The 18,311-nt window shown below is 41.6% G+C and overlaps 1 protein-coding gene across 43 annotated transcripts in view; it reads right to left on the bottom strand.

Annotated features, from left to right (window-relative positions):
- PEX5 (peroxisomal biogenesis factor 5) overlaps positions 1,425 to 18,311 on the bottom strand; it is a 29,922-nt gene continuing 13,035 nt past the window's right edge. For 14 of the 43 annotated variants that reach the window (XM_047429262.1, XM_017019748.2, NM_001351131.2 and 11 more), the window contains 10 exons: positions 18,158 to 18,248; positions 17,648 to 17,758; positions 17,295 to 17,387; positions 16,448 to 16,567; positions 12,197 to 12,340; positions 11,919 to 11,989; positions 11,330 to 11,542; positions 10,829 to 10,994; positions 10,159 to 10,316; positions 8,540 to 9,977 (listed from right to left, as the gene is read on the bottom strand). In XM_047429262.1, the coding sequence (XP_047285218.1) occupies positions 9,776 to 9,977; positions 10,159 to 10,316; positions 10,829 to 10,994; positions 11,330 to 11,542; positions 11,919 to 11,989; positions 12,197 to 12,340; positions 16,448 to 16,567; positions 17,295 to 17,387; positions 17,648 to 17,758; positions 18,158 to 18,248 (1,369 nt within the window). In that variant the 3' untranslated portion in view covers positions 8,540 to 9,775. Of the gene's footprint in view, positions 1,598 to 7,127; positions 7,228 to 8,539; positions 9,978 to 10,158; positions 10,317 to 10,828; positions 10,995 to 11,329; positions 11,543 to 11,918; positions 11,990 to 12,196; positions 12,341 to 16,447; positions 16,568 to 17,294; positions 17,388 to 17,647; positions 17,759 to 18,157; positions 18,249 to 18,311 lie in introns of those variants that run through there. The other 29 variants (NM_001351124.3, NM_001351126.2, NM_001374648.2 and 26 more) reach the window with 7 other exon arrangements.

The raw sequence follows: 18,311 nt of genomic DNA, 5'->3' as shown, positions 1-18,311 counted from the left end.
AGTAGCAAATGTGGTACTGTGAAGGTGGGCAGTCAGACTCCTGAACCTATGCTCTTAACTCCAGACCTTGAGGCCTAGCAATCTTGGGTAGATGGAGGAGAAAGCAGAAAGAGAGATGGCAGCAAATCTCTTGGTTGCTACTAAGGTCCTTTGGCGCCATCTGCTGTTTAGTGCCAGAGTTGGCAATTCCAAATAGTTTGGACTCCTATGATTGATGCTTTTTTCTTTCTCTTACCTGGAACACATATGCCTATCATGTTGTCTTCTTCCACTGTTAGGTCAGCTATTCAAACAAAAACATTGAGATTATAGATCTCATTTTAACTTCCTAAGTGAGCCCAAATACGGGCCAGAAGAGTGTTGGTGTCCATTTCTGTTTGAATGTTGAAGGCTGTCTGACTTTGTGCCTGCTTCTAGTATGGTCCAAACAATTGAAGATATTTTGGCTTTGAGAACACCATAAAGAAGAATGAGATCCTGTCATTTGCAACAACATGGTTGGAACTGGAGGTCATTATGTTAAGTGAAATTAACCAGGCAAAGAAAGATAAACGTCACATGTTCTCACTTATTTGTGGGAAGTAAAAATTAAAACAACTGAACTCACGGAGATAGAGTAGAAGGATGGTTACCAGAGGCTAGGAAGGGTAGTGGGGTGGGTGGGGGGGAGTGAGGATGGTTAATGGGTACAAAAGAATAATTATAAAGAATGAATAAGACCTAGTATTCTCTAACACAACATGGTGACTATAGTCAAAAATAATTAATTATACATTATAAATAACTAAAAGAATATCACTGGAGTGTCTGTAACACAAAGGATAAATGCTTGGGTAATGGATACCCTATTTACCCTGTGTTTATTACATATTGCATTCCTGTATCAAAATATCTCATGTAGCCCATAAATATATATACCTACTATGTACCTACAAAAATTAAAAAATTTTTTTCAAAAAAACACCAAAAAGTAAGAGAACTGCAAATATATAATAGTGGTAGTCATGGTAGGTTTTGCTGCCTAGTAGCGGCTGCCAGATATTGCTAATGGAGTCAGCACAATAATCTTTTTAAACTGATGAAGCCTTTGAAAATTGTGTCGTTAGAAAGATTTTTTAAACCAAGTTAAGACAAGAAGTTTCCTTCTTTACGACGTGTTAGATTAAGCCATTCTGCAGGGATTGGGGGATAAGGGTTCCCAGATTGTTAGAAAACTTCAACTAGAGTAGAGTTTAGAGGAGAACAAAAGATATGACCCTGAGTGGCAGTTCTATCTCAAGACAAGGTCCCCATTGCCTTAGCAGATTAAATACGCAGTTTGCTAGAAGACAAGCTGTGTGAGTGTCTTAGCCTAAGGTTGTGAGTGGGTTGTTTTACCCTGATTCAACTATCTCTTTCCTTTTCTTTGAAACACAAGGCCGCCATTTAATATGTGTCAAAACTTTAATAATTTTCATCTATTGTTTGAACAAATGAGGATTTGTTTTCCTACATGAATTGTCCAAGATGGTAGGTAGAGAATCCAATATGAGTTCAGGATCCCAAGGAAACTCCAGCCCGTTCATTCAGAAGCAGTGTCTGCAGAGGCTGTATATTTCTAAAGAAAAACAAATGGGTAAATTGAATAAAACCCAGTCGTACAGTTTCCACTTGAGGAAACTTTGACCTAGAATAGTTTGCCCGTCTCTAGAATATTCTTATATTTAAAGACCAGAAAGTGTCTCAATTGCAATGAATTCCTACTTTAGTTGATATAAGAAAGACCATTAAGCATCTATATGAATCCTGGAAGGACTCTTAAAGGCTACTGGTGATAGGTCACTATCATAATAATCGTCAATAAATCATACCTCCCTGTATCCACATCTCTTTGCAGTGTGTCATTTCTTCTCTCTCCATCTCCCCATCAAGAGATGGAGTCTATTTCTTCACACCCTTGATTCAGGGTTGAACTTATAAGTAAAATAACGTCTAACTGATATTAGTTAGACTAACTAACTCCCCTCCCTGAAGTTGCCATCCCACTCTGCATGGAACTGAAACTGCACGTCTCTTGCTGACCACCACAAAGGGACAACAGCCAGGGACTGACTGTGAAGGGACTTAGGGTAAAGGCACAGTGCAGCCCGTACAACTCAGGGAGGGGAGGAATGTACAGGTGCACATGCAGGACACTCGCTATGCAGCAGGGCCTATAGTGTCCCTGTTGGCCCCCTAAGTCATTTCCAGCTTGGGTGTATGGGTGGAGGCTGCAAAGCCCCTGCAGCCAGCCCAGGCCACCAAGGGTCATTCTCCACAGGGACAGGCGGCCCCAGTTATGCCTGCCCTGATGCAGCAGTCTGACCTCCTGCCTGTGGGACCAAAGGCAGAGCCTTGTAAAATAAATAATTTGTTTTGACCAATGAAAGGTGACAGGAGTGAGATTGTGTGAGATCCAGAGACTTGCTTTTGAGAGGCTTTGCAGTTCCTGCTCTGTCATTTTGACACCCTGAGACCACCATGCTGTAACGAGGCCGTCTCACCTACTGAGGAATTCTCCTCCACCTTGGAACATCCCAGCCCTAGTTGAGGCATCAAATGACGGCAGGTGGCCCCATGAATGTTCCCCGGTGAGTACAGCGAAGAAGCGCCCAGATTGCCAATCCACAGAATAGTCAGAGATAATTAATTATTGTTGTTTTAAGCCACTAAATTTTGGAGTGGTTTTTATGCAGCAAGATATAACTAATATACTTCCCAAGAAAAGGTAAATCCCAAACCAAACTCTGAATGCTTTAAATGCACTTGCCCTTTACGAAAAACTTTCCTACTTGGAAAATGAGAACACATTCTTAATTGTCACCACCTTAATTTGCCCAAATCTACTAAATATGTTAATATTCCCCATGGGCTGATAGTTCATAGAACTAAATCTTAAAATGAAGGTTTTCTACTTGGGAAAGGTTTTTTCAAATGAAACACTGGATTACTTTGAATTATAAAGTCATGGTTAAAAGTAACTACTACATTGATGTGAAGAAAAAAAATAAACACGTATGAATTAGTGTGAATAAAGTAATAATTTATTAACAAAAGATTAAACATTCCTATTCTCTAACACAAACACTTTATCTCCTTTAAAAAGTTGTTGGATGGAAATAAAGGAAATCTTACTTTGGTTTAATGACTTCAGGGTCCCTGCTGTGTTACAAGAAAAAATACAAAAGAAATACAAATGGGCAATAGGCTAGTGATTAATAGTCACGTAAAGACTAAAGAGAAAATAAAAATAATACAAAAAGTTTTGGGTCTAAGTTTCTAAAAGTTGTTTTGTTTTTGACTTTTATTCCAGGTTCTGGGTCTAAATTTCATTCAAATATATAGTTACAGATTGAAAGATATTTTATTTACAAACCTTTTTGTCCTAAGATCTTAAAAACAAAAAATAGAAGTTATGATCGTAAAATAAATATGATAATTCAATTTTACTCCAAAGTAAATCAATTTGTGAACTTTGGACATACAATAGTTCTATATAAATATTCTCTCCCATTTTTCCCACAGTGTAAAATAAAAATGCAAACATGGTATTACAGCTTATGCAAGAGTTTGGATTTTCCTTTCTAAAATACTAGATTAAATGAAATTTAAATCACTTACACTTGCCCTGGAGATAAAGTAAGTTGTTATTACCTTTGTCATTATTTAAGAGTAGGTAATGTATATATGGGTGTGAGTGTTTAAGGAATTTGGGCCGGGCACGGTGGCTCACGCCTGTAATCCCAGCACTTTGGGAAGCTAAGGCGGGTGGATCACCTGACGTCAGGAGTTCAAGACCAGCCTGGCCAATGTGGTGAAACCTTGTCTCTACTAAAAATACAAAAATTAGCCTGGCATGGTGGCAGGCGCCTGTAATAGCAGCTACTCGGGAGGCTGAGGCAGGAGAATCGCTTGAACCGGGGAGGCAGAGGTTGCAGTGAGCCGAGATCGTGCCATTGCACTCCAGCCTGGGCAACAAGAGTGAAACTCCATCTCAAAAAAAAATTTTTTTTTAATTTAATTAATATATTTAAATTGATTACAAATAATTTAAATCGCGTCTTTGTAAAATGGCTTTTGTTTTGTTTTTGACTTTTATTCCAGGTTCTGAAGTACACATGCAGGTTTGTTACATGGATAAACTGCATGTCGCTGAGGTTTGGTGTACAAATGATCCCGTCACCCAGAAGAGTGAGCATAGTACCCAACAGTTTTTCAACCTTCATCCCCCTCCACCTCTCTGGTAGTCTGCAGTGTCTGCCGTTCCTATCTTTATGTTCATGTGTACTAAATGTTTAGCTGTCACTTATAAGTGAGAATCTGTGGTATTTGGTTTTCTGTTCCCGTGTTAATTTGCTTAGGATAATGGCCTCCAGCGGCAACCATGCTGCTGCGAAGGTCGTGATTTTGTTCTTTTTCGCGGATGCATAGTATTCTATATTGCATATGTATCACATTTGCTTTATCCAGTCCACCATTGATGGGCATCCAGGTTGATTCCACGTCGTTGCTATCATGAATACTGCTGCAATGAACATATGAGTGCATGTGTCTTTTGGGTAGTGATTTATTCTCCTTTGGGTATATACTCTGTAATGGGACTACTTGGTCAAATGGTAGTTCTAAGTTCTTTGAGAAATTTCCAAACTGCTTCCCACAGTGGCTGAACTGATTTACACTCCCACCAACAGAGTATAAGTCCCCTTCTCTCTGCAACCTCACTAACATGTTACTTTTTTGACTTTTTAATAATAGTCATTCTGACTGGTGTGAGATGGTATCTCATTGTGGTTTTGATTTGCATTTCATTAGTAATGTTGAGCATTTTTTCATTTATTTGTTGACCAAATGAATGTCTTATTTTGAAAAGTGTCTGTTCATGTCCTTTGTCCATTTATAAAATAGTTTTCTTAACCTTAGCCTTAGTGACTGCAAATTTTGCGGACTACAAAGTCACCCAAATGCATAATCTGAGTAAAATTTTAAGATGCCACGTCTCTGATAAATTTGGGTTATCAACAATAATTGTATTGCTCATTGATGCTAGCTTCAATATAATTTCTAAAATCCCAAGATGAATTTAGAACTTTTGACTAATATAATACTGATATCATTATCAGTATTATATTAATAGGTAATAGTCTATATCCGAAGATTTCCAAAGAAATTAGTTTCAACATCTATTCATGTTTTTAATGTAAAAACATGAATAATGTAACATTCACAATTTTTTAAGAGAATAATTCTTTTTTTATTTTATTATTATTATACTTTAAGTTTTAGGGTACATGTGCACAATGTGCAGGTTAGTTACATATGTATACATGTGCCATGCTGGTGTGCTGCACCCATTAACTCGTCATTTAGCATTAGGTATATCTCCTAATGCTATCCCTCCCCCCTCCCCCCACCCCACAACAGTCCCCAGAGTGTGATGTTCCCCTTCCTGTGTCCATGTGTTCTTATTGTTCAATTCCCACCTATGAGTGAGAACATGCAGTGTTTGGTTTTTTGTTCTTGTGATAGTTTACTGAGAATGATTTCCAATTTCATCCATGTCCCTACAAAGGACATGAACTCATCATTTTTTACGGCTGCATAGTATTCCATGGTGTATATGTGCCACATTTTCTTAATCCAGTCTATCGTTGTTGGACATTTGGGTTGGTTCCAAGTCTTTGCTATTGTGAATAGTGCCGCAATAAACATACGTGTGCGTCTTTATAGCAGCATGATTTGTAGTCCTTTGGGAATATACCCAGTAATGGGATGGCTGGGTCAAATGGTATTTCTAGTTCTAGATCCCTGAGGAATCACCACACTGACTTCCACAATGGTTGAACTAGTTTACAGTCCCACCAACAGTGTAAAAGTGTTCCTATTTCTCCACATCCTGTCCAGCACCTGTTGTTTCCTGACTTTTTAATGACTGCCATTCTAACTGGTGTGAGATGGTATCTCATTGTGGTTTTGATTTGCATTTCTCTGATGGCCAGTGATGGTGAGCATTTTTTCATGTGTTTTTTGGCTGCATAAATGTCTTCTTTTGAAAAGTGTCTGTTCATGTCCTTCGCCCACTTTTTGATGGGGTTGTTTTTTTCTTGTAAATTTGTTTGAGTTCATTGTAGATTCTGGATATTAGCCCTTTGTCAGATGAGTAGGTTGCGAAAATTTTCTCCCATTTTGTAGGTTGCCTGTTCACTCTGTTGGTAGTTTCTTTTGCTGTGCAGAAGCTCTTTAGTTTAATTAGATCCCATTTGTCAATTTTGTCTTTTGTTGCCATTGCTTTTGGTGTTTTAGACATGAAGTCCTTGCCCATGCCTATGTCCTGAATGGTAATGCCTAGGTTTTCTTCTAGGGTTTTTATGGTTTTAGGTCTAACATGTAAGTCTTTAATCCATCTTGAATTGATTTTTGTATAAGGTGTAAGGAAGGGATCCAGTTTCAGCTTTCTACATATGGCTAGCCAGTTTTCCCTGCACCATTTATTAAATAGGGAATCCTTTCCCCATTGCTTTTGTCAGGTTTGTCAAAGATCAGATAGTTGTAGATATGCGGTGTTATTTCTGAGGGCTCTGTTCTGTTCCATTGATCTATATCTCTGTTTTGGTACCAGTACCATGCTGTTTTGGTTACTGTAGCCTTGTAGTATAGTTTGAAGAAGTCAGGTAGTGTGATGCCTCCAGCTTTGTTCTTTTGGCTTAGGATTGACTTGGTGATGTGGGCTCTTTTTTGGTTCCATATGAACTTTAAAGTAGTTTTTTCCAATTCTGTGAAGAAAGTCATTGGTAGCTTGATGGGGATGGCATTGAATCTGTAAATTACCTTGGGCAGTATGGCCATTTTCACAATATTGATTCTTCCTACCCATGAGCATGGAATGTTCTTCCATTTGTTTGTATCCTCTTTTATTTCCTTGAGCACTGGTTTGTAGTTCTCCTTGAAGAGGTCCTTCACATCCCTTGTAAGTTGGATTCCTAGGTATTTTATAGCTTAATTCTTAAGTCATTTACACAGCCAGACTTTGTCATGTCCTGCACCTATGTAGTGTGGAAACTGCTCCTCCACCTGCCCAGCCCACTTCCCGCCTGGGTCTTTGCACCACCAACCTGCAGAGCCCAAGACACCAGCTGCCTCGTGATCCCCCAGGTGGTGACAGGTGCCACAACAGCTTCCTGTTTTCCTCCCCCAGGTGTTTAATTTTCTCCTCTAGAAAAGTATCAAACATGCACCAAGAAAATTTGAGAATTACAGAGAAGTATGATCTCCCCACTTTTAGCACATTGGGATAGTTCCCTATTGTCTTTTCAATGCATTTTTTTCTTAAGACAATCTGTAAATAATTGACCAACCATTTTTCTCACTATATTGTTAGCATCTATTGTCACTGGAAATTATTCCATAAATGATTAAATAGCAATAGCTATATTTCACTGTCTGGACAATTTACTTACCCAGTTGTCTTTTAGACCTGTTTTTTTTGTTTTTTGGGTTTTTTTTTTTTTTTTTTTTTTTTCTGGCAGCTTTTGAGCTCACCGGAAAAAAAAAATTAGACTTTGGCCAGGTATGGTGCTCCTCCCTGTGATCCCAGAACTTTGGGAGGCTGAGGCAGGATTCCTTGAGGCCAGGAGTTCAAGACCAGCCTGGTCAACATAGTGAGATCTAGTCTCTATTTGAAAAACTTTTTAAATAAATTTAAAAGTTAGACTTTTTTTTGGCTGGGCACGGTGGCTCACGTCTGTAATCCCAGCACTTTGGGAGGCCGAGGTGGGTGGATTGCCTGAGGTCGGGCGTTCGAGACCAGCCTGACCAACATGATGAAACCCTGTCTCTAATAAAAATACAAAATTAGCTGGGCGTGGTGGCACATGCCTGTAATCCCATCTACTTAGGAAGCTGAGGCAGGAGAATCGCTTGAACCCAGGAGGCGGAGGCTGCAGTGAGCTGAGATCACGCCATTGCACTCCAGCCTGGGCAAAAAGAGTGAAACACTGCCTTAAAAAAAAAAAAACAAAAAAAAAAAAATTTTTTTTCCAAGTCTAATGTGCCCACAAACATCTATCTCCAAGTATAAATATTTGTGTATATTTTTAAATTTTTCCTCAGGATAAATACCCATCTTGATATGGCACTTGATACAGTTCCCGATAAAGGCAGGCAGAGCCAGATGAAAAGCTTTAGAAACCCTAAGCACTGAAAAACTATCAAAATCCTTCCATGTAATTCATAATACAAAACAACCTAACAATTATATGGCACTGCACACTTTCCTTTGTAGTAGTAACAGGAGTAAAAATTCATGATTATCGACATCTCTTTCTCCTGCTAGCCCAGAGGCCCAGAGAACAGGGACCCTGTCTCCTGTGCTCTATCATTTTTAGAGGGATGAGCAGGTAACCAATATACCAGTGAGAATTTGAAAGGCAGAAACTGTTGAATCCCAGTCCTCCAAACGCCAACTCACCTTCTGCCATCCCAGCTTCATGACCAGCAGAACTCATACCCACATCAGTTCCATTTATTCTTCGTACAAATATTTTACAGTTTTATTTTTAAATCATTTACACATATTCATACAAAGAAAAATAAATTTCAGGATGGAATCCTGGGACCATGGTAGTTTAAAAAAAAAATCTCTCTGATCATTAGCTACTAAAGACAAGGCAAGAGGCTTAGCAGTCATTTCTGGGGGTTAGTGTATCTCCCCATGCAGGGGACAACTGAGAAGAATCCAAGCTGCTCCCTCATCTTCCTTCGATCTAGATGGGGGAAGGGGATTTTCCAATGCTCTCCCCTAGAAACATTTCAAGAAGTACAGCAAAGGCTTATGGTAACACTGAACCTATTTGCTAGAAATCTGGCAAGATTGCACTTTCTGAACCAATTTTCTATAACAGTTGGCTCAATTCCCATTCACAGGTGCTTCTAAGAGGATGAGGGATTGCCGCACTCACCATACCCCCTTCCCACTTGCTCTGTCCTCCCACCAACGTTCCTGAATAGAGCCCTTGATCTCTTCTGATCTAGTCCCTCCCCGCTCCCACCCAGCCTCATTTCACAAGCAAACCTTCCTCCTATGCCACACACCCAGACACTCTGTAGCAATTGGCCCTGGCAGCTCCTGAGGACCGCTGCAGTGATGACACAGGACTATTGCATCAGCATCGTGCTCACAGGGAATCAGAGCTCAGCCAGGAGAGGTCCAAGAATGACAGAACCATGAGCACTCCTACCAAAACTCAGCTCTGCTCAGCCAAATCAACAATTCAACCCAACAGGCCAACTCCTAACACATCCCATCCAGACAGACATTAGAGGCGCACAGCAGATGAACCTCCTACTTACACTGCCCAAGGAAGCTGGACTATCAATTCCCAGTAAAAGTGGGGGAAAGGACAGACATTACAGATGTGGTAGACCCTATCAGAAATGGCAGCTGATGATAACAGTTACCCTAAATCGTGGGGTCCTACCCAAAAAGCAGCACCAAGAAAGGGCATGATGAGCAGAGAGATCTGTAGCTGGATGTACAGCCCTTGAATTACCAAGGGACTCAGAGATGACACAGCTCATTTTCCTACAATTATGTAGGAACTAGAACACAGACTACCCACCCCTACGTTGAGGCAGCTCCTGAAAGGCCGTACCGCTTATGGTCATCAGCCCGCCCCCTTGGTAGGCCCATTTGGGGAGAGGGAATCACATCCAAAGCGGGGATCCCTCCAGGTGGACACTCACAGGGCAGCCCGTCCCACTGTCACTGGGGCAGGCCAAACATAGTTAGGAGGGTGGACAGATCCCGCGCGTCGGCTGCCCCATAGGCATCGCTCTGGCCTAACATAGACAATGCCAAACGCAGGGTGCTCCAGATGTTCTCCGACATGGCACCTCCTTCACCCCGGGGGCCCCGGCTTTTCCTCTGCATGTTCAGGGCCTCCAGAAAGTGCTCCACAGCCTCCCTGTAAGGAAGAAGAGGAATGAGAGCTGTTAAGCTGAACAACAATGGAAGGAAGCAGGTCAGCTAGCAGTGGGAGGGAGAAAGCTAGGGCTGGTTAGTCAAACAGGATCTAAGAATAAGGAGCTAGGGCCAAAGGCAGGGAGAAAAAGCTCATTCATTCATTTCTCAATAGATACTCTCACCGGTGAGCCCCGAGGTTGATGCAGCTGATGCCCAGGTTATAGCGGGACCGGATATAGCCAGGCTGGAGCTCGAGGGCCCGGCGGTACGCAGCTACTGCTTCTTCACTCTGGTTTCCATTGGCCAGGGTGGCGCCTAGCTTATTCCACAGCAAATAGTCCTGGGATAGGGATGCAGAACGGATGGGAACAGCTTGACTCAGCTCAAACTCTGCACATTACTCCACCGACTCAGCTCAAACTCTGCACATTACTCCAGCTGTTTCACTACTCTGTTAGCTAACATGTTTCGTCCCATTCCATTCTCAACAGTTCGGTGTGTGGCTACAATGTAGCCCCTCTCACCCTATGCAGACTCTCTTATGTCCAGATGACCCTACACTCCCAGCCTTCTTTTCCCAGTCCTCCCAAGGCAGTCAGTACATGGAACACTGGAATGAAATACCCCAAGACTCCAAAAGTCTGAACAAATTATTCTTTTTTGTGGGGGTGGGCAGGGTCTTGCTATGTTGCCCAGGCTGGATTTGAACTCCCAGGCTCAAGTGATCCTCCCACTTCAGCCTCCCAAGTAGCTGGGACTACAGGCATGCACCATCAAACCCAGCTTCCCAACAAATGGCTCTTCAATAAGGTACACAGTCATGTCCCATTTCCATTCCTCCCCTGGGCTCACATTGGGACGAACGCTGAGGGCAGCTGTGAAGCAGTCCACGGCCTTGTCATACTCCCCACTCAGGTTGAAAAGGACTCCCAAGCCACACTGCACATCAGGGTCAATGGAGGTAGGGTCCAGCCGCACAGCTGCCAGGAAGAGCTCTTTCACTTCAAGAAACAGGGAGCTGGATGAAAAGGAAAAAAACACAAAGTAGGTAGATGAATGTCTCTATTCCCATCCCCCCAAATTAATTTCTTCATTGATCAACCATATCCCCAACATTCATCAATCTATCAGTCATCTCTTCTACTCTCAAAGTCCAATATAGAAGCCTGTTTTTCTATTTCATCCTAGCACTGAACTGTAGAATGCAGACCTCCTTCAACTTGATCCTAGGTTTCCCATCCCATTCTCAGGACCCTTCAGTCTCAATCCATCCAAACTTCCAAAACCAAGGTCACCCTCCTACTGGGACTTAGGTTACTGTAATTCCTCATCCTAGGAACCCCTCATACTCACTCAGACAAGAGAGATCCCAGGATACGCTTGCTGGGGCCCAGTCCTGCCCCACCAGCCCCTTCTTCAGCAGGTGTCACCAGATGGGCATAGGCTGGTGTGTACCGCAGCCAGTCTCGTAGGGTTTCACAGGCCTGTCGCTGCAGGGACTCGTTGGTGAAGCTCACAGCCAGCGCCATCAGTGCTGTCTGGTTATCTGGCTTTAGCTCCAGACACCTGTTTGATCAGGGATGGGCAGACTTGATATCTGCAATGACTGACACTGGCACATGTGAGCACCCTGGGATCCAAGCCAAGCTTTGAAATGCAGAGTCACAATGGCCTCACCTGTGACTCCTCTGACATGAGTTAATAATAAAGTTACAGATCTAAGGGGAAGGTTTTAGCAGGCAAGGAGCCAACCAAAGCCGCAAATAAAATCAAAAGCCGATGAAGGAATGGAATTCACTCCAACCCTCAGAGTTTCAGCATGAGAAAACACTCTTGATAGCACTCAGAAAGAAGACAAGGATCCAGGTCTGGGCTTCTGTCATTCAAAAGGTTATATGCAGAGCCTTGGAAGCACCTCACCCACACCTTTCAGTGTACTCACCTCCGCAATGCACTGATGGCTAATAGTTCTTGTTCATTCTCTGCCTGGGTGGTACCCAGATACTGCCAAGCCTAGAGGGAAGTTGACAGATTCCATCACCCCATATTCACCTCTCCATTCGCCCTTCCCCCTGGCTTCTCCCACTCACCATCTCGCTCTCAAGCCCCTATCCTAGGCCATCACCCAGGCCCTAACCCATCTGCACTACTCTCCTTGGGGCCTTTCTCAAGATGGAGGAAGCAGTCTCTAGCCAGAAATGAGACTATGGAGTCACTCACTTCCATGTGCTTAGGATCCTGCTGCACAGCTGCCTCAAAAAGCAGCACAGCATTTGGCAGGTCCCCCTCCTGAAGGCGCCGCAGCCCTTCTTCAAAAGGCTGAGGGTGATCACGCAAGGGGTTCTCCTCCTCAAACTGGTACCCCTACAAGAAAAGCACGTGAGAGATGGACTGAGAGGTGGCACCGTCAGAACAGCAGGGATGTGAGGATGACAACCAGCAGGCAGAGAAGCTGAGGGCCTCCAAACAGGTTCCGGAATTAATTGCTGGCAAATTCTCCATATTATAAAGATCATGTATGACACAAGTAAAATCATTTGGTATCAGGTTTGTGCTCCCATCTCCTGTTCATGATACCTGGGAAGCTAGGAAAGTCTACAAATTCATCTGCGCTGGAAATAAGCTTATTTTAGGAAGTCATCACAGGCTTGTATTCCCACACCTTGACTTCTCACCACGGGGCAGAATGTCTCAACAGGATCTGCTTATAGTAATGAGACAAAGTGTCCCTAGCTATGCAAAGTGCATTTCTTGTTATCCTTCAATAATGTGATGATGTATAAAGGAAATGTTGTTTGGAGTCCTGCTATTCAAATATAACTCTTACTTAGCTCAGAGTCATTCCACATGTCAACTAGATAAAACATTTTCAAGCATTTTGAAAATGTTAATTTATTCCCCGATTTCATTCTTAATAATCATGAATATTAATCTGTATCTGACAGTAAGCAAAAGCTGGATCCCAAAATCCAGATGGCAGAGAATACTTCAGAAAGACACCATTCTCTTCCAGCTGAGGATTTCTCACTTTAGAGAAGAGTTACGATACTATCTGCAAAGCTTTGTCAACTGGCATTTTACACTAGGCAGAGAAGAAATGAGGTAAAGGGGAAGTCACTAGTAAGCTGCAAAATCTGGGACATGCAAATAAAAAGTCCGTTTTTGGAGAGTAGTTACCATCATAAAATAATACACCAGAACGAAAACAAGATGCAAAACAACAGGTGGAGGTCTTTCTAAATGCAGTTAAGAATAAATTCAGATAAAACTGTACAAAATAAAGACATGAGGCCCTTTTTCATTATTATTGTGAAAATGATAAAGAATCAAAAACACTTAAATCTTACCAGCAAAATTCTAAGTCATGATCAGATGCAAATTATTTGTCACAAATGAAAATTAAATAATTACAATGGGGGGTTTAAGAAGAAAGACATATTATAGTAGATTTGAGATAAATGTATAGAAAGTATATTTATATTGAAAACAAGTGTGTTTTTGGACATCTCTGCATAATATAAAAACTAAGAAGGCAGAAAATGACGCTAGTCCAGTGATCAGCAAACTTTTTCTGCGAAGGGCCAGATAATAAATATTTCAGGCTTCGTGGATCTGCTGCAACTACTCACCTCTACTGTTGTAGTGCGAAAGCAGCCAGACATAAGTAAACAAATGAGCACGGCTGTCTTCCAATAACATTTTATTTATGGACACTAAAATTTGAATTTTATATAATTTTCACTTGTCACAAAGTATTACTCTTTTGATTTTCTCCAACCATTTAAAAATGTTAAAACCATCCTCAGCTAGTGGATCACTAAAAACATAAAGATTTATCCCACAAGCCAGTGTGCTGGCCCTTGCCCTAGACTATTACAGTTCAATAAAATAAATCCTTCTGCATTCAACCTCAACTATTGTTCATCATTAATACGTGTTTTAAGCCACTCTACAGAAAACAGAGATTACTGTCATCTATAATGCAGTTTCCTAATAAAAGTAATTCCTGCCTCTCAGAGCCATTGAGAACATCAAATGGGAATCTTCACCAACGCCTTACCAAAAAGCTTAAGATACTATCTGTAAATAGCTATTATCCTCACTGCTCTAGATACTTCCTTAAGATATGATGGCCTGTATATGACAGCCAGAAGTGATGCGAATGCTCTTCAGGTGTCTTCATTAGATAATACAACAACTCAATGCCACCATCTTGCAACCACAGGATTCTCTAAGTTTCCTCTCATCCATATTATCTACCCTCCTTGAAGTCTCATCAATTGCTGATCAAAGAGGAATTTTCCAAAATTAGAATATTTGCATAGATGATGGAAAAAGAGTACTCTGGGGGATCCCTCAACAACCCACAGAACACAGGATAAGCTTGGCTTCACTGTTACATCCTGAAAAGCCAAACCCAAGTCATTAATTTTATCTGATACACGGTCTGGTCTGCTCCAAAATCTCATAGGATCAAACTGCAGAAATGATCACTACAAAGAGTTTGTCCCATCACATACTTCTCTTTTATCATAATAGTATATTAATATCTGCCTGAGCTGCAATGTAAATTGTCTCTGAAAATATAAGGGCTATCAATAAACAAACAGTGCATTCAAAGAGATCCATGAATTTATGTAACAATCAAGAGTCAAGTCCTTTGTTTTTAAAAAGTTCTATTGACATGGAATTCAATATTAGCTTAAAGCCAGATACTGTCTAATTGCTTACTACATCACTTTTTGAGGAACATTAATGCAAGTATTTCTAGTCCTAATTTTGCAATATCCCAAAGTATCAATGATATCAAGTAGGGCTCAAGAATCTACAAACATACTTTTAAAGTTTTTAATTAAAAAATGTATTCTGGATATGACACCAAAAGCTCATATCCCAAAAATCATTGCAAAGACTAATGTCAAGAAACTTTCTCCCTATGTTTTCTTCTAGGCATTTTACGGTTTTGGGTACTGCATTTGGGTCTTTAAGCCATTTTGGATTAAGTTTTGTACATAGTGTGAGGTAACGGTTCAGTTTCACTCTTTTGCACATGGATATGCAGTTTCTCCAATACCATTTATCGAAAAGACTATCCTTTCCACATTTCTATTCTTGGAACCTGATCAAATGTGATTTTTTTTCTAAAAAAAAATTTGCTTTCTAATTTGTCACATTGTTCTATGTGTCTGAAAAAAAAAAATGTATTCTGGCCAGCATGTCATAAATACGAGAGTAATAAATGATAAAAGAAAATGCTGCTCATACAAAACTAGTATTATGTCTATATGTATGAAAAGCATGGACATTTTTACATAAATGTACAACTTTCCATTTATAAGTTGATGGGGCCTATGTGACTTATCAAATTGTTAATACAAAATAATAACAAAAGTGTTATCTATATTTCCTTCAGTTCTTCCTTATCAAAATTATATACAATGAACTCATAGTCTAGTGAAATACATGGCAAGGTCCCAGCTGTCTTTTCCCTTATATCACACAGGATAGTTAGAAAAATCCAGATCAGACTGGAATAATAAGCAAAATCATATTTTTCCTAATACTGTTCTTCACTGGCTCTCAAACTCTAGCCTTTTTCTGAACTGCATCTTCCCATCTTTGCATAGCTCCCTTATTACATCAAGATCCATCTCCAGCACCCTGGTTTGCATCTCAGGCCCTGGTTCCAGCCCCACAATACTTTCCCAACCAGATCTGAACTGAGAAAAAGACATCACTACTCACATCCCCAGTTCCTGTTTTGCCTTTTTTCAAAACCAAGTGATTCTTTCCCCTCTTCATGTTTCAACTCAGGAGCTCAGTTATTAAACACATCCCCAAATATCCTACAACCCACAGGTAGATTTGTTTTTCAGTAAGACCCCAGAAGTAACATATGCTTCTAAGTCAACAGCACATGCTATAGGCAAAATGCAATCATCTTTCATACTACTAAGAAATTTCCCTAATATTTAAGTTATCTAATATAAATTCTTTGAAAACCCTAAATTAGGGCAAGTGGCTACTACCTATAAAAGATAAGAACTTAAAATGAATATGTGAGTTTAAAAAGTAAACAGATATTAAGATGTGGAGGCAAAGGGATAGTCTGTCCACTAACACTCCCCACCAAAGGAGTCAGCAGTCTTCTCAAAAAGCTCCCAATCTGACCTCCAAGCAGAGCTACTTCCTCTGTGCTTTTAATGCAGCAAGCATGTGCAAACCTCCTTCACAGGTGTTATGTACTGGACTGTCGTTATTGACAAAGATAGTCTCATTAACATCTATATCCCAAGAATAAAGTTTATACTCAATCACTGAAGAGGAAGGGCAAGGGAATTATTCAGACTTCTTTTCGTGGAAAGGGACTCAAGAAAATACTTAAAAGCACCCTTCAAATTCAGGATTAAAGGAAAGACGTTAAAAAGAAGGAAGTTCTGGAACCTGAAAAACTAAGAGTTTTTACCTCACCTTATCATAGGTAGCTGACGTAAGGTCATCATAGTCAGAAAGCCAGGGGTGGGCCTCAGCATCCCGTTTTGCCATCTCCTCCAACTCTGCCTGCAACTTGTCCCAGAAATCGACATCAGACTGTAAGGAAGGGAAAGCAGATAGAAAAAGGAGATCCATCATGACCACCCCACCCCACACTCAGCTCTGCTGGGATTCTCTAAGGCAGCAGTTCTTGAATTTCAATATGTTTAAGAATCATCTGAATAAGTTTTTTAAAATGCAAATGGCCAGATGCTATCCCCAGATACTGATTTAGTAGTCTGGGGTGATGGCCAGAAATGTAATGTAGTGCAGTGCAGTGCAGTGCAGTGCAGTGCAGTGCAGTGCATAGTTTAGTTTAGTTTTTTGTTTGAGACAGAGTTTCACTCTCGTTGCCCAGGCTAGAGTGCAATGGCGTGATCTCATCTCGTTGCAACCTCCACCTCCCAGTTTCAAACATTTCTCCTGCCTCAGCCTCCCAAGTAGCTGGGATTACAGGCATGCGCCAACACACCACGCTAATTTTGTATTTTTAGTAGAGACATGGGGTTTCTCCATGTTGTTCAGACTGGTCTCGAACTCCTAACCTCAGGTGATCCACCCACCTCGGGCTCCCAAAGTGCTGAGATTACAGGCATGAGCCACCATGCCTGGCCCAGAAATCTGCATTTTTCAACAGCACCCACCCCATCCCCAAGCAACTCTGACACAGATGATCCAGGTCCACTATGAAATACAATTTGCATCATCTTTGATGTTCATACACCCACTCACTCCAAGGAGTGTTTTCTTTTGGGGTGTCTGCTCCTGCACTATCTGCTCTCACCTCTATAGCTGACTTGGCTCGTTCAAACTCCATATCAAGGGCAGATGTGTTTACTGGTCTTGTGAACTGGTCAACCCAGGCATCTGATGTACCCTGCGACAAAAAAGGATGGTCAGTACCACTACCACCAACTTTCTATCCATCAGACGCACACTAAATACCCACTAACCACCACCAACCTGGGTACTTCTGAGAAAATCATTCTCAGAATCTCTTTCCCACCCACTTGGGACCTGGATGCTATCAAGACAAGCTGGTCTTATCCTTCCCCATCTGGGACCACTGACCACTGAACCCATGGCCTGGGGCATCAGCTGGCTCTGAAGTGGGACTGGAAAGTGACAATGTCCTACCTGCTGCTGTATAAACTCTGCTGCCCACTGTTCTGCCTGAGCTCGGCCCGACCCTGCACCGGACTCCAGGGACACCTGCCCTTCGCCAATCTGCCGCACGAATTTCAGGAACTGGGGCACAGAGACACACACAGGCCACTTGGGAAAGGACTTCCAGGTGTGCACTCTCAACCATGCCCAAGAGGACCCTGTACTCACCCCTCCCCTGACCATCTCTAGCTGCAGACAAGATATGCTAAAGACCCTAAAAGAGGTAGAGAGCAAAAAGAAAGGGATTTCTGGCTCTAAAGACTTGCAAAGGCATCAGAAAAAAGAGTTAGTAGGCAAGGAGATGAGGGAATGAACACTAGAAGGAAGAGGCAGGATCTTAAGTCTCTGTTCTATAGACAGGAACGAAGAGACCTAAGATCTCTTCTCCTTCTCTTTAAACTAAACTGGGGTAAGAAAAGCAAGATTCTTGCCTTCCAAAACCAGCTCTGCTGGGCAAAGCAGCAGAGGGATGTGGCTCACCTCAGAATTAGCCAATTTGGGGTCATCCACTTTGGCCACAAAGTCACTGGCCGTGTGCTGCAGATCCTCCTCAGGATGATATTCATCATACCTGGAACGGGTAAGAACTAATTTTACACATTAGTCTGCCATCACCCTCCCCATGCTACTCCCC

Source organism: Homo sapiens, chromosome 12 (genome assembly GCF_000001405.40).
Source record: "Homo sapiens chromosome 12, GRCh38.p14 Primary Assembly".
Classification (NCBI taxonomy): Eukaryota; Metazoa; Chordata; class Mammalia; order Primates; family Hominidae; genus Homo; species Homo sapiens.
Note: the sequence above shows the minus strand (reverse complement) of the source record. Positions and strands in the feature narration are given on the sequence as shown.